Genomic DNA, 15748 nt, shown 5'->3' with positions numbered 1-15748 from the left:
ACACTGGGTCCTTCTGGCTTGGCTACAGGTCGGGTCTGAGGCCAGCCTCACAACCAAGTTAAGACTTCTCCAATCACCAGCTGGGTACTGGAGCTGAGGCTCAAAGGGCTTCGAGTTATGGGGCCCTAGGCTCCTGCTAGAAGGTTCCCACTCTTCCACGGGGTGGCAGGCGCCCTGGCTCAGCGGAGGCCTCTGCATTCTCACGGGACAGCCAGTGCACTCTGCCTCACGGGCAGAGCCCTGCAGCAGCTCCACATGTGGCCCAGCACCCATATCACTTTATCACAAATGTGAGCACCAGGTTGACATGACCATCAGAAGGGAACTTTTCCAGGCAAAATGCCTGAGTGCCCCAACCAAGCCTTTGACACACACAAAGCTGCAACCAAGCTTTGCGCCTCACTGGCCTTTTTGGGAATAAAATCTAATTTAAAATCAAGAGAACATGATCAAGTACCTTGTAAAAAACTGGCTTTATTTGTCACTTATTCACCTTATCTCAGTTATGCCATTTTGGCGTCCACAGTGACAGTCCCCTGGAAGCTGGGGTCAGCCCCCACCCACCCACCGTGACCATCACCCACAGGGCGTGAGTGTGGGCCTTGCAGGGCCCAGCCGATGGTTACAGGCTGCAGGCGGGACTATGGGGCTCCTCCTGAGGCCTGGTGCCTTCCAGCCCCCTGCCCACCAGCTTGGGTACAGCTGCCTGCCTGCCAGAGGCCAAGCATTCCTAAGCGTGGGCTGGGGGAGGCCCTGCCCCTCTGTAGCAGCAGAGCAGACAGGGCAGTGGGAGAACCATGTGGGTAGGAGGGCATCAGGTCTCAAGAGCCTCTCCCCTGCTCAGGACTGGGTCTAGACAAGGCCACGTGTGATAGGGTGGTAAGCCCTGGGCCATATGGAGGAGCCTGGGGCCCATCTTGGTTCTGCTGCTGAGTTGCTGGGTGGCTTTAGGCAAGTCCCTTCTTGTCCCTTGGTCACTCTGTTTCCTGGCTAGCACTGCCAGCAAGGTCTCCAGAGTGTGCCCCTCTGCCGGGCTGTGGCGGTGGCCCTGTGCTTTGCAGGCTGCCGTGTGCCCACTGTCAGAGTGGGGTCTCCCCGACAGGCTGCACGCACCCCCAGGCCCCCTTCTTAGGATCAGGGCATCCTGCAAAACATCCTTGGTCCCACCAATGTCTAAAGCCAGCTCGAAACCTCGAGCTCCTCAGGATCTTAGCACCCAACTCTGCTGCCCTTGCTGCTGGGCAGTGCCTGTCCTAAGAGGGGACTCCCTAAAGGCCAGAGAGAGGGTGCTCATCTCCAGGACCTAGGCCACCTGTCAGCACAAACAGAACTTATTCCAGACATAAACATGAGTCTTCTTATTTCAAACACTGGAGCAACTGATCAACACCACCACAGCCCATGCACCCCGAACCTGACTTCACTACCAACCTTGAGCCTGTGCTGTCCTCTCTCTGCTGACGACACTGGTGACGCAGAAAGGAAGTCGGTGGTGTCTGCTCACTTGCGTGCAGTCCTAAGCACAGTAAGAAAATTCTGAACACAGCTGGGTGATCTTCAGCCCAGAAGGTGTAGGGGCTTGTGAGCACTAAGTCAGTTTCTGTCCATGTCTGATAGCTACCACAATGTCTCCCCTTGCTAGGGCAGCTGCGAGGAGACGTGTCCAGTGATGACTGGCAGAATCTGGACAAACGGACATCACTGCAAGGGTCTGTCCACCTAGCTTGGCCAGGCTCAGCTTGGCAGAGCTGATGACCCAAGTGGACTAAACACGGAGCTAGCAGAAACAGGCAGACTCTAAGCCCAACCAGAAGAGTCAGCTAGAAGAGCCAATAGGTGCACAGACAAATCCACAGATGGCCAGGAGTGTCTTCTGGGAAAGCCATCCCTCTCTTTTGGAAGAAGTTCTGTCCTTAAAAAAATCACTTTTAAAATAAGGGAAAACAATGGTGTCTTAGAGAGAAACAGTCCTAAGCCAGATATTCCCACGCCTGATTGTGAAGGAGACATGCCAGCAAGGTCCCACGTCTCCGGGAAATACATGATCTGCTCCCAGCTTCACACCCTACTGCCAAAATGAAACGTAGACATTTCAGTGTTTGTGCTTCCAACCAGAGTGAGAAATTCCCTTTGTGGGGAAACAGGTGAGACGGCTGCAGCCGCATACAGCACTGAGAAGGTGCAAAGGTTAAAACAAAAGTTACATGGACACTTGGGGACAATCCTATACCATTCCCACTTCTCTGGCAGTCGGCTGAATAAAATTTCACTTTCACAGTTCTTTTTGCCAGTGCCAGGATAAAAAGCAAAATTTTAAATTGGAAAATGTCTAGCACTTTACACAGTGGAATGAAAGAATACGAAATTCAAAAACATTATTAAAAGTCCATATGCCGCAGCAGCACGCGCCATGATGAGAGCTCCCCTTCCGAGGCGCTTCTGGAGCAGCTTCCTCAACCTGTCCGGGAGACGGGCTCAGAAGAGCAGGGCCCCCATGCTGCCAACCTCGCTTTGCTCCTTAACGAAGATCTCAAAGTACTGGTAGATGATTGTGACTGCGAGCAGGATCCCGGTTCCAGACCCAATGGCGCCTAGGAAGTCAGCCAGGACCGAGAGGGCCCCGATGCACAGCCCACCAAAGGCCGCGGCTGTGGGGATGTACCTGGGGGAGGGGACACAGTCAGCTCCTGGACACCCACAGAGCTCCCCGTGAGCCAGGCGGCCAACAGGCTCACCTGAGACTTTGGGACCTAATGCCTCAAAGGCCCCTCTGCTGTCTCCTAGAAAGTCATCTACTAACATGCTAGCGCTCTAGGCCAAGGCGCTGCTGTCCAGGCAGTGGCCACACTGGCCACACGTGGCCAGGGGACTGTGACTAGACCAAACTGAGATGTCACATAAGATTTTGGAGATTTGAAGACAAGGATGTAAAATATTTCATCATGGTTTTTCTTAACATTAATTATAATGTTGAAATGATACTTTGGATATACTAGGTTAAATATATTAAATTTAATTTCACCTGTTTCTTTTTACTTTTTTAATGTGACTTCTAGAAATTTTAAAAACTACATGTGACTTGAATTCTACTTCTACTGCACAGTGCTGTAAATCCAGCAGCTTAATATTAAGAGAATGAACTAAATTGCCTACCATCCCTGCTAGGGATTAGAAAATGATCTGAAGTTTGCAATTCTGGCTTTTCCTGTGGTTGCTTCCTTTAGGTAAGGCCCATAGGACAACCTGGTCTGCAGCTGACTTTGTAGCCAGCTTTGTAGGAACACGGCCATGCTCATTTGTCTGTTGTCTGTCTGTGGCTGCTTCTGAGTGACGATGGAAGAGATGAGTAGTTGTACTGAGGACTGTGCAGACTGAAGAGTGCTGTGGCAGCATCTAAGGTCACCTGGACTTTGCCCTTCCTTACCTAACTGCTCCATCTCCAAGGGTACAGCTGTATCTGGCACCATCACCTCTGGCCCAAACTCTCACCACAGCCTGGCAGGTATGTGGCCTCCCCCTCTCCCTCTCTAGCGTGGTTTCATGTATTAGCACTGACCTTCCTAAGAGACTGCAGGCTCCATCCCTTCTGCCCTGCTTCAGATGCACATCAACCCCTTCCGTGCCCAGCCACTGCCAGCCTCTCTAGCCTTAATGCCACCACAGGCCCCAAAATGCGCTCAGATGCCAGGACCTGCCTGCTCTGAGCTCAGAGTGACCCTCCTCCAGGGCGCTCTCTTCAGCACCCCACCGGCATGAGCCAGGGTGAGGGTCCCGCTGCCAGTCACAGCTGTTGCTCTCAGGACCCTTACTGCACTGTCTCCTATCCGCCTGGCCACATGCTTCCATCTCCTTACCCAGTGGCTCCCTCTGGAGGAAAGGGGCTGTAAGTGTTTATTTTTACGTCTCCAGTGTCCAGCACTTAGCAAGTTTATAAATATATAACATTTAATTCTGTCCTGTAACCCAAGGATAAGATTTAGTGACCCAGTAAGTGCTAGGGCCTATCAGGATGCCCTGCATGGAAAGAAACAACACATGTCCACAGACGGGAGGTTGGGGACCTGGGGCCACCACTCACCGGTTGAGTTCATGGACCATGGAGGTCTCTCGGTGGCCTCTCATCACCATCTGCTGCTCCTTCAGCTGCTTTGCAACCTGCAGGGTGCCCACAGGGGAGAAGTTGGAATTGGAGGCTGAAGGGGAAATAGGCATTCCAAGTGGTACTGAACAGTTACAGATCGCCTCTTCGAGCACTGACAATATTCATACAGAGAACTTTAAAACTGCCGCAAGGAAGTCATATGAAAAAGTCTAACTTTACAGTGTGGATTCAGATTCTCATACCCACAGCTGATCTACTGCTGGACTCCATCTGTCAGCCCTTAAAGCTTCTGAACTGCCCCCTAAAGGACGACGATCTATCTGCACACGTCACAGACCATTATTTATGATGAGGTGACAAGTCCACACCCCTTATACCAGTCACACTTTCATCACCCTTCCAGAAAGTTTTGCTTCTACTTACATCTTTGGCAGAGGAACCTGAGACCTCAATCCACGTTTTGGAGAAGAATGCACAGGAGCCCAGCATGAACACTATGTATACAACTGCATGGACCGGGTCTTCTAACACGGAGCCAAAAGATTCTGGAGGGGACAGGTAATAGCAAAGGCCACCAACTGGATAAGCACGTGCTGGGCCCCCAGAAGACGTGTCCTGGGGAAGAAGAAACCAAACGCATGTGAGTGCTCCTTCATTTTACTTTAGCATCAAGGCAAAAATAGTTCTGAGCAGATGAAAGAATGCAATTTTACTCGGTGCCCACAGTACAATTTTTTTACTGAAAAGATAATTTAATGTGCTGAATTTGTAAAAGGCACAATGGAAAATATCTTTGGATGAAATATCTGTTCATGAGCAAGACACTGATAGAAACCACTGCAACTTAGCTGCATTGCTAGCTCATCTTCAAAGAGCCTACTTACCGACCAGGTGCCCAGCAGGCTGACCAGCAAGTTGCCACTGAAGCGAGCTGAGAGCATTTGGGAGATGACATAAAGGTTGGACACCAGGGCAGACTGCAGGATGATGGGGATGTTGGACGTATAGAAGAGCTTGATGGGATAGGTGTTGTACTGGCCACGGTAGCGGGCCGACTTGATTGGCAGGTCCACTCGGAAGCCCTGAGAAGCCAAACAGAACCAAATCCCCTTCACTGCCTCATTTCAGCCTGCTGCACAGAAACACAGCCCGGCCGGGGACTGTCCAGTGGGCCACAAGGGAGGAAATCCTGTGTGCTGGTTCTGGGGCTCCCAGTTCCGAGAGCTTGTGCCCACTCCTTACCCACCACTGCACTCCTGCACTTGGCACATCCAGAAGGGGCCCAGAAAAGCTGGTTTAAAAATACACTGAAGGCTAGGCGTGGTGACTTACACCTGTAATCCCAGCACTTTGGGAGGCCGAGGTGGGAGAATTGCTTGAGCCCAGAAGTTCGATACCAGCCTGGGCAACACAGTCAGACTCCGTCTCTACAAAAAATAAACAAAACTGGCCGGGTGTGGTGGTGCGCGCCTGTAGTCCCAGCTACTCAGGAGGCTGAGGTGGGACAATCACTTGAGCCTGGGAGGTCTAGGCTGCAGTGAGCCGAGATCATGCCACTGCATTCCAGCCTAAGCAACACAACGAGACCCTGTCTCACACAAAACAAAACATGGAAGCAAGCACGGTGGAATGATCCCCACCCCCACTTTTTTTTTTTCCAAAAGACAGAGCCTATCACATTACATCCACATCTGTGTGGAATATGGAGAAAAGCCTGGAGGCCACACACCCAAATCCCAAGGGCGCTTCTCTCTAGCTGGTGATGTTTCCTAAGCTTTTACACTGGCTCTGAGGCAGGGCCACTACAGCAGTGGCCTCACACCTTATAATAGTTCCTTACAGTGTTTTTAATCATAAACAGAAAAGCTAAACTTTTCTAGGAATACAACTTCTCCCTCTGAAACCCCTGGAGACTAGAAAGGGTTTATTTTTATGAGCTCCCAGTACCTAGAACAGGGCTCGGAATACAGAGGATTTAAAAATTAAATACTTAAGGCCGGGTGCGGTGGCTCACGCCTGTAATCCCAGCGCTTTGTAATGTGGAGGCGGGCGGATCACGAGGTCAGGAGATCGAGACCATCCTGGCTAACACGGTGAAACCCTGTCTATACTAAAAATAAAAAAAAATTAGCCGGGCGTGGTGACAGGCACCTGTAATCCCATCTACTCGGGAGGCTGAGGCAGGAGAATCGCTTGAACCTGGGAGGCGGAGGTTGCAGTGAGTCGAGTCGAGATCGCGCCACTGCACTCCAGCCTGGGCAACAGAGCAAGACTCCGTCTCAAAAAAAAAAAAAAAAAAAAAATTCTTAATGATCTGACTGCAAATTCTGGCAAAGCCCCTAAAGAGATAGCTTTTTATTAAGCAAGAATGTGGCTTAGTCTCAGCAGAAGGAATGGGAAAAGCATGTAGCTCGTATAAATACCTTTCACAAACATCAAACTGCCTTTCATCTCTGTCCCTTCTTTTAAATAAACACCAAAATACAAAGTGGACCATCAAAAAATACAAAGATCAATCCAATTACAGGAAAACAATAGCAGTTCAGGTCTCTTACTCAGAAGCAAGTTTAAGAGATGGAATACTTTTAAAGGTAAGACAGCTTAAGAAGATAGGCCGTTTCCGAGATGCAGAAGTTACCTATAAATATCATACAAACTTTCTATAAGAGAGCAATGAGGTTTCAGAGCTAGAGTACTTTTTGCTTCTCTTGAACTAAGAACTTAAAAATGTATCTTACCTGTCGATAGGCCCAACCCAGAAGAACATGATTTCACTTACGTTAGAACTGCCTTAATTTTGTTTCGTTAATGGCAGGTCCCATGACTCAATGAACATGCTTGTCCAGCTCATCTGGAAACCTGCTGCCTTCAAATACCATCTCATCGTTTCAACACAATATGATGACAGTGCACCCCACAGAGTGGGGGACTGCACACAAGGCATTCTGAAACTTAAATCCAGACCATGGAAACTCCCTGGGGTTGGATCTGGACACACCTGGAAATAGATGACCACTGCAAAGACAAAGATGGTGGCGATGAGATTCATGAGGTTGGGAAGATTCTGGCGGTAGAACGCCTCCCGAAGGGCTCGGACCTTGTCTGTGCGTGTGGCCAGCAGATGGAAAAGTGCGATGATAGCACCTTCAAATTCCATTCCTGTTGGCAGAGGAGGAGACATATATGAAGGAACGAACAGGCAACTCAATTTGCTTCTAGCCTTCTTAGCAGACAAATAAAAAGAGGAAAACAAACTTAAGTTATTAGACTCATGGTGCCCATAGCCACAGGGATACAGCATGTATTATTCTCATCCCTCCCTTCTCTTCTGTAGAGAATTCAAACTACAGAAACGGGCTATTCTGGTTTGTTTTTGATTTTTTTTAGACAGGGTCCCTCTCTCTCGGCTGCCTAGGCTAGAGTGCAGTGGTGTGGTTGCAGCTCACTGCAGCCTCAACCTTCTCCTCCTGGGCTCAAGTGATCCTATCTCAGACTTCCGAATAGCTGGGACTATAGGCATGCTACCACGCCTGGCTAATTTTTTATTTTTTATTTTTGTACAGTTGGGGGTCTCACTATGTTACCCAGTCTGGTCTCGAACTCCTGACCTCAAGCAATCCTCCCGCCTCACCCTCCCAAAGTGTTGGGATTACAGGTGTGAGCCACAGCACCCAACCACTATTCCACTTTTTAAAATTAATTGGTCTCATTTCTTAGGCACATGAGTCAGTGGCCACCAGAGGTGTGGAACGATGATAATTTATAAAAATAAAAGCAGACTCTGCTGAACTCTAGCTGAAAGGGGTCATCCACTGAAGAGGGGGCTCAGAGCTGGCAAATCTACTTTCCTGGACAATCTTGAGAAGTACAAGTACCCATTCAACAGCTATGAAGTGCAGGCTGCCCTTGGCTGGTGAGTGGGGAGGCTCCAGCTCTCTGCTTCTCACACCAAGGATACAAGTACAGAGGATATGCTTGCGTCCACCATGTGGTCCCATCCAAATGACACCCTGCCAGGAGATGCTCCTGAGGGAGGCAGGCCTAGGGGTGGAGTGAGCTTACTGAGGGACTGAGGGATATAGGAAAGGGACCCAATCTAAGAACCAGACAACAGAGTAACAAGTGAGAGGAAGGCGGGGAGTGTGGTGCATTATTAAGGCCTAAGTTTTAGACATCAGCAAGAAATTTACTTACGTTAAAAAACTAAAAAGCGAAAAAAAGAAACAAGTGATAACCTCTGCCGTTCCAGGACAGCATAACCATCCCATAATGGAAGCCTGGCAACTCACGCTGCTTCTACTGGCAGGAAGCTGGCATTACTTCCAGAGACAGGGTCTCTGTGGGCAGTGTGGGGTCATGGTATCAGTACTCTGAGGAGCACTTTTAAAAAAGTCAAATAGGAGTCGGGCGTGGTGGCTCACGCCTGTAATCCCAGCACTTTGGGAGACTGACGCGGGCGGATCACAAGGTCAGGAGTTCAAGACCAGCCTGGCCAAGATGGTGAAACCCTGTCTCTACTAATAATACAAAAAAATTAGCCGAACATGGTGGCGGGCGCCTGTAATCCCATACTCAGGAGGCTGAGGCAGAGAACTGCTTGAACCCGGGAGGCGGAGGTTGCAGTGAGCCGAGATGGCGCCAATGCACTCCAGCCTGGGTGACAGAGCAAGACTCCGTCTCAACAACAACAAAAAGTCAAATAGGGACTGTATTTGATGGCCACTTTGGAGTACAATTAATTTTACATGACAGATTAAATAGGAAAGCTGAAACTGAAGGTCAGACTGTACTTAGAGGACCCATCTAGTACTGTGGAACTTGTCAAATGTGTCCATTCCCTTGTGCCTAACAGTGAAATAGAGTGAGATGTAAGAAATGAAGACACCCTACAAAAAGGAAAGCTTCTATTCAACCAAAATAACTTGGTAGCTGAGGGAATGGGAAGAGTAACCAAACTGATGGTATGTGGGGTTTGCCTTTTAAAAGCACATTAAATAAAAACTTGAGAAGGGATCACTTTAACCCAAAGGTAATAATTCTGTCCTCTGGACCCAGATCTGGATGGTGAGCCTAGAGAGGTGGCCCAAATCTGTAGTTCAGCTCAGGAGCCATCCAGACCCCAAGTGCCTGACATTGAGTTTCGGTGCTGCAGGTGTGACATCTCCAGATTGTGTCTCTGGATGCTGTCAGGAGTAGGTTCTGCTCCCTGATTTTCCTTTCATAGAACAAATCTTCCAACTTTCACTTTTACTCCTCCCATGACTAAAAAGCAAGTGAATCTAGGAAAAGGTGAAACTAAAGAACTCAAAAGCACTGTTCCCAAGTTTCTAACACGTGATAGCTAGGACCACCTGCTACATCTTCCTGGACCATTCCGAGATGACATGTCAGGCAGACCATCTAACCAATATGACCACTGACCTCCTCTGCTGTGGCTTCTGTGAAAGAGACACCATATCCTAACTGGCCATCATGTCCTCATCTCACCCTGTGGCGGTCTTTCGTCAATTCCCATCCTTTCCACCTTTTGGTCCTGTGTGACAAGGCTGGCCTGTTTCCCCACGGTTTCAAATTTGGGACTAATTCCCAGTTCTGCATTGTTCCTGCTGCCCAGGGAAGCAGCAGTGATTACTGTCTCTGCCTGTAGAATCTCATTCAACAGCCTCCCCTGTCCCAAGCCAAGCTGCAACATCTCCAGGCACAGCTGCAAAGCTGCCGTCCCAGCTGTGCCCTCTGTGTGGCTCTCCCTGCCCCTCCCTAGGCTCTCCCTCTAGCACCACTCACTGCCCACATGCAGGCCATGGGGCACAGCCCTTCCTGAATGCATCTCGTGTCAGCCAGGTCCCAAACACGAGCAACTGACATGTAGACACACTGACTTCAAGGCCAGACAAATCCACCTTTGCTTCTTAGTTTTCCCCCACCTTGAAAGTGCCTCTCTGGTCCCCTCTCTCAACTTGCTTCCTCCAAATGCCCTCACACAGTGCTCTCCTGTAGGATGGCTTAATTGGGGCTGGATTACTGCTGCACGCACCTAGCTGCTCTCTCTGCCTTTCAGTGCAGAGCAAATCACTTCTTCCAAACTCTGGCTCCCATTACTCAATGCCCTGCTGCAGAATGGAACATGAGCCTCTGGCGGCTACTACTGGGCTGCTAAGCCACCAGGGGCTCCCCTCTGACTTTACTTCCTTCCCACTCAGGCACTCCCCAAAAGCCAGTCACCATGATGGTCTTGACAAATACCTGAACTCCTACAATGCCATCCCCCTCTTGCCTTTTCACATCCTGTCAAACTTTGCCTTCTGGACCTGCTTCTCCCAATTTACCTTGGATTTCCTAAATTTATACAAAGTACTCAAGGAAGCATCAAATGTGATCTTGCCCACTCTTCTCTATGGCTCCCTATCTCAAGCTCCACTCTCCTTTGTAACCTGTTAGGCACATGCAGCCTTCACTTGTTTGGGGACCAGTTTTCCATCTCATTAATGAGATAATATGGTCTCTGGAGGCCAAGGACTCTGTTTCCAACATTCAATTAAAAGAAAACTCTCAAATATGCATGATTATTTCTCCTGGAATGCTCCTCAGTGAAGAAGATATTTAGTGCCAAAAAATGTTTATTTCCTTTCCCTAATAAGTCACACTCTCTAAGGCTTCCCTTGTATGTTTTGAACTTTTTATTAAAAACATGCTGTTACAAGATTTCCACGGCACTTGGTGGATGTAGCACAGCATGCCAATGTTTGATACACATCTACCAGGAGCCAGGCATCATGTAATTTCATGTTGCTTCTCACTGCATCCTGGTAACCAAGATTCAGTGGTGCAGGAATCTGCCCAAAGCCACGTATGTATGACTAACAGGAACAGCCAGGATTTGAACGCAGGTGCTAAGCTCCAAGTTCAGGCCTTTTTCAGAAAGCTGCCCCTTGCATGACCAAGTGCTTTGGTTTAGGAATTTCATTTTTAGAAACTTATTCACTGAGAGCAGCTGCCAAAATATACAAAGATGAACATATGAGGACAGTCATGGTTTCAATGTTAACGATAAAAAAACCTGGAAATGACTTAACGTTGCTTTATCGTTGCAATATAAGCTTATACTGTGCTAAGAAAAGTGAGGCAGGATTGTGTATTCTGACGTGCCAAACGTCCAGGAGATATTTTTATATGAAAAGTGCAAGTTAGGTATCATCATAATTACAAGCCTATTTGTGTTTTTAAAACTTTGCAGATGGACCCAAACACCAGAAGAGATAAACCTAAAACTGACATTATTTTTCTGTGGAATGGGGGGATTTTTGTCTTCTGCTTTGCATTGCTCAATTGTTTTTGCTGAAAGCTGTCGCCACCAGGGGAGCACAGGGCCCTTACCTCGGCCAGTGTTGACAGTAGTGGGGCTGAATGCCTTCCATACGATGGTTTCACAGATGTTAGTTGCAATGAAGAGAGAAATACCAGAGCCAAGGCCATATCCTTTTTGCAGGAGTTCATCCAAAAGTAGGACAATTAAGCCAGCAACAAAGAGCTGTAAAAATTCAAAAATACAAGACTATGTGTTACTGCTCCCCACGGACATGGTTCCGTCCTTCAGTAATTGGGTTCTCTGATATAAACGCTGAAGACGGAATGAGATCACATCCTCAGCCCCAGAGAGCGGTCAGTAAAGCCTTTCTCTGCTGAATTCAGAGGGCTAACCCAGAGTCTTAGGCTTCTGCTTCCTTTCAGTAGGAGTTCCTTTTAGGTGTGCTTGAGATTCGTTATGTGAGAATTGTAGGTAAGTGTGAGGGGCTACTCAAAGGGAGATGTTAGCATAATAATTACCTGAATGGTGATTAGCAGGCAAATTCCAGCACCCATTTCAGAAGGGTCCCCATACATCCCGGTCATCACATACACGATAGACTGGCCGATAGTAATGATCATGCCAAATACTAGAATTGAAAGAAAGAAGTGTTTTCCAAGTGGGTCACTACACAGAACAAAAGAAACAATTAAGAAACACCAATTCAACGCCAGGCACGGGGGAGAACAAAGATGAAGAGCAGTGATACTACCTCCAAGGGGCTCGGCTGAGAACGCGCTAAACCATCACATCAGCAAAGTACATGATGAATCAAAAGCCTTTTAACAAAAGCACACTTCTTCTTTAGTTTTACCTTTTCCTAGATTCACTTGCTTTTTAGTCATGGGAGGAGTAAAAGTGAAACTTGGAAAATTTGTTCTATTCAAAGAAAATCAGGGAGTAGAACCTACTCCTGACAGCATCCGGAGACACAATCTGGAGATGTCACACCTGCAGCACCCAAACTCAATGTCAGGCACTTGGGGTCTCGATGGCTCAAGAGCTGAACTACAGATTTGGGCCACCTCTCTAGGCTCACCATCCAGGTCTGGGTCCAGAGGACAGAATTATTAGCTCTGGGGTAAAGTGATCCCTTCTCAAGTTTTTATTTAATGTGCTTTTAAAAGGAAAACCCCACGTACCATTGATTTGGCTGCTCTTCCCATTCCCTTAGGTACCAAGCTATTTTGGTCTAATAGAAGCTTTCCTTTTTTTTTTTTTTGAGACGGAGTCTCTGTCGCCCAGGCTGGAGTACGGTGGCATGATCTTGGCTCACTGCAACCTCCACCTCCCAGGTTCAAGCGATTTTCCTGCCTCAGCCTCTGGAGTAGCTAGGATTACAGGCACGTGCCACCACAGCCAGCTAATTTTTTGTATTTTTAGTGTAGACAGGGTTTCACTGTGTTAGCCAGGATGGTCTCCAACTCCTGACCTCGTGATCCACCCACCTCAGCCTCCCAAAGTGCGGGGATTACAGACATGAGCCACGCCTGGCAAAAGCTTTCCTTTTTGTAGGGTGTCTTCATTTCTTACAACTCACTCTATTTCACTGTTAGGCACAAGGGAATGGACACATTTGACAAGTTCCACAGTACTAGATGGGTCCTCTAAGTACAGTCTGACCTTCAGTTTCAGCTTTCCTATTTAATCTGTCATGTAAAATTAATTTTACTCCAAAGTGGCCATCAAATACAGTCCCTATTTGACTTTTTAAAAAGTGCTCCACAACAATTAGTTCTTAATGCAGGAAAACATTCAAAACATTGTGAAGACCAAAGAGAAAACAGCCAATTTGTGCTTGTACTTTTTTTGTTTTCTTAGTGTTTTTTGTTTTGTTTTAAGAGACAGGCTCTGTTGCCCGGGCAGGAGTGCAGTGGTGCACTAGCAGCCTCAAACTCCTGGGCTTAAGTGATCCTCCCACCTCAGCCTCCCTAGTAGCTAGAACTACAGGTGCATCACCACACTTGGCTAATTTGTTGTTGTTGTTTTGTAGAGATGGGGTCTCTCTCACTGTGTTACCCAGGCTAGTCACGAACTCCTGGCCTCAAGCAATCATCCTGCCTTGGCCTCCCAAAGTGCTGGGATACAAGTATGAGCCACCGCTCCCAGCCACATGTGTGTATTTTAGAATCCTAATTTTTATCTAAAACTGACAAGTTTAAATAGATGTATTTCTTGGCTGGGCGCTGTGGCTCACGCCTGTAATCCCAGCACTTTGGGAGCCTGAGGCGGGCGGATCACGAAGTCAGGAGATCGAGACTGAGACCATCCTGACTAACACAGTGAAACCCCGTCTTTACTAAAAATACAAAAAATTAGCTGGGCGTGGTGGCGGGCACCTGTAGTCCCAGCTACTTGGGAGGCTGAGGCAGGAGAATGGCTTGAACCCAGGAAGCGGAGCTTGCAGTGAACCAAGATCACGCCACTGCACTCCAGCCTGGGCGACAGAGTGAGACTCCGTCTCAAAAAAAAAAAAAAAAAAAAAAAAATAGACGTATTTCTCATTCAATTATCCACCATACTAATTTAAGACCTGTAAAACATGCTGGTGTAGGCGAAAAGATGACTGGATAGGAGACTGTAAATATCATTTCCTAATTAATGTTTTTCAGCAAACAGAGGCTAAATATGGCTAATTTTGATGACTAGTAATTGTTACTAGTAACACTTATTAGATATGAGGCAAATACCATTATTATCCCCATTTTTACAGATGAAGAAAGTGAAACATAAGAGCTATCATCTAACTTTTCCCCAGATCACAGAGCTGGTAAATTATACAGCTGGACTGACAGGATCACCTTTTCTTCAGTTAAATTCTTTTTTTTTTTTGAGAGAAGTCTTGCTCTGTCCCCCATGTTTGAGTGCAATGGCTTTATCTCGGCTCACTGCAACCTCTGCCTCCTGGGTTCAAACAATTCTCCTGCCTCTGCCTCTCAAGTAGCTGGGATTAAGGCACCTTGTCACCACGCCTGGCTAATTTTTGTATTTTTTTAGTAGAGATGGGGTTTCACCATGTTGGCCAGGTTGGTCTCAAACTCCTGACCTCAGATGATCCGCCCGCCTCAGCCTCCCAAAGTGCTGGGGGTTACAGGCGTGAGCCACCGCCCCCCAGTCAGTTAAATTCTTTTATAAAACACTTGCCAAATAACTACTATGTGCCAGGCATTGTGACAGTGATTATTTAATCCTTATGACAGCTCTGAAGTAGCCATTACTTCCTTTTAAGCAATAATGAAATGGTGGCCAAGGGTGCTAAGACCTCCAAGCTCTGATCCTTCTCCTCCATTACATGGCCTCAGGGGCACTCCAGACACTCTCCCCTGCCTTGCCCAGCCCATCCCCAGCACCCACCACCTCTGCTCTACCAGAAGTGCTCTCTCACGCTAACACAGGGCATGGAGCTCCTGCAGGGTTGGCAGGCCAAGGAGGTTGCAGCACAAAAGAAAATACTGTTTGGGCTGGGCATGGTGGCTCACGCCTATAATCCCAGCACTTTGGGAGGCCGAGGCGGGTGGATCACAAGATCAGGAGTTCAAGACCAGCATGGCCTATGTAGTGAAATCCCGTCTCCACTAAAAATACAAAAATTAGCTGGGTGTGGTGGCACGTGCCTGTAATCCCAGCTACTCGGGAAGCTGAGGCAGAATTGCTTGAACCTGGGAGGTGGAGGTTGCAGTGAGCCAAGACTGCGTCACTGCACTCCAGCCTGGGCAACAGAGTAAGACTCCATCTCAAAAAAAAAAAAAAAAATAAAAAATAAATAAAAAAAGAAAAACTGATACCAAAATCTTATAGCAAATTCAAATTTTCCAACTATAGACATCAGATTATTCACAATCTTTCTTACACTTTTGGGCTCCGTTGAAGAGAGCTCGGTCTTTTGGGGTGTCACCAACTTCAATTATCTTGGCGCCAGCCAAGAGTTGCATTATAAGGCCAGACGTGACAATAGGAGAGATCCCTAGCTCCATCAATGTGCCTTGAGGAAACGGGGAAGCAAAACAGTCAATATCAGCTTGGAAACGTAGTACGTTATTTTAAAAATGAATACGCAAAATTTGACTGGGTACCCCTTATATAAAACCAATGTGTTTCAGTTTCCTAGCTGTGTTTAATTTAGAACCCCAAAATATCAACGATTAGTATATAATTCAATTCATTCTGTTCAGCCTGCCAGGCAACAGCTTATTCTGTTTAGGAAGTCACATGGTGTCTAAACAGACTGCTGCATTTAAATTCACCATAAACAGATTCATTCTGGTTTTAGAGATAAGAAATGTTCGTCTCTTCATCAGTTA

The 15748-nt window shown here is 47.5% G+C and overlaps 2 protein-coding genes across 8 annotated transcripts in view, besides 4 other annotated features; one reads left to right on the top strand and one right to left on the bottom strand.

The window, feature by feature from the left end:
* The window catches only part of RUVBL1 (RuvB like AAA ATPase 1), an 89130-nt gene extending 81777 nt beyond the window's left edge, over nt 1-7353 (top strand). For all 5 annotated transcript variants that reach the window (NM_001319086.1, XM_017007357.3, XM_011513249.4 and 2 more), the window contains one exon: nt 6918-7353. In NM_001319086.1, the coding sequence (NP_001306015.1) occupies nt 6918-6926 (9 nt within the window). In that variant the 3' untranslated portion in view covers nt 6927-7353. The remainder of the gene's footprint in view (nt 1-6917) is intronic.
* The window catches only part of SEC61A1 (SEC61 translocon subunit alpha 1), a 20043-nt gene continuing 4749 nt past the window's right edge, over nt 455-15748 (bottom strand). For all 3 annotated transcript variants that reach the window (NM_001400328.1, NM_013336.4, NM_001400329.1), the window contains 8 exons: nt 15298-15429; nt 11927-12036; nt 11477-11630; nt 7101-7261; nt 4987-5184; nt 4526-4717; nt 4079-4155; nt 455-2662 (listed from right to left, as the gene is read on the bottom strand). In NM_001400328.1, the coding sequence (NP_001387257.1) occupies nt 2476-2662; nt 4079-4155; nt 4526-4717; nt 4987-5184; nt 7101-7261; nt 11477-11630; nt 11927-12036; nt 15298-15429 (1211 nt within the window). In that variant the 3' untranslated portion in view covers nt 455-2475. The remainder of the gene's footprint in view (nt 2663-4078; nt 4156-4525; nt 4718-4986; nt 5185-7100; nt 7262-11476; nt 11631-11926; nt 12037-15297; nt 15430-15748) is intronic.
* Nucleotides 3638-3932: a silencer, noted in NCBI's record as "tiled region #11773; HepG2 Repressive DNase matched - State 25:Art". NCBI's record gives its function as "represses a minimal TATA promoter and a strong SV40 promoter by Sharpr-MPRA in HepG2 cells {active_cell/tissue: HepG2}" and the evidence as "EXISTENCE:reporter gene assay evidence [ECO:0000049][PMID:27701403]".
* Nucleotides 3638-3932: an enhancer, noted in NCBI's record as "tiled region #11773; K562 Activating DNase unmatched - State 14:Gen5'". NCBI's record gives its function as "activates a minimal TATA promoter and a strong SV40 promoter by Sharpr-MPRA in K562 cells {active_cell/tissue: K562}" and the evidence as "EXISTENCE:reporter gene assay evidence [ECO:0000049][PMID:27701403]".
* Nucleotides 3638-3952: a biological region, named in NCBI's record as "Sharpr-MPRA regulatory regions 9818 and 11773".
* Nucleotides 3658-3952: an enhancer, noted in NCBI's record as "tiled region #9818; K562 Activating DNase unmatched - State 14:Gen5'". NCBI's record gives its function as "activates a minimal TATA promoter and a strong SV40 promoter by Sharpr-MPRA in K562 cells {active_cell/tissue: K562}" and the evidence as "EXISTENCE:reporter gene assay evidence [ECO:0000049][PMID:27701403]".

The sequence above is a fragment of the Homo sapiens genome, chromosome 3 (assembly GCF_000001405.40).
Source record: "Homo sapiens chromosome 3, GRCh38.p14 Primary Assembly".
Lineage (NCBI taxonomy): Eukaryota > Metazoa > Chordata > Mammalia > Primates > Hominidae > Homo > Homo sapiens.
The sequence above is the reverse complement of the archived record's forward strand: the minus strand, read 5'-3'. Positions and strand labels throughout refer to the sequence as shown.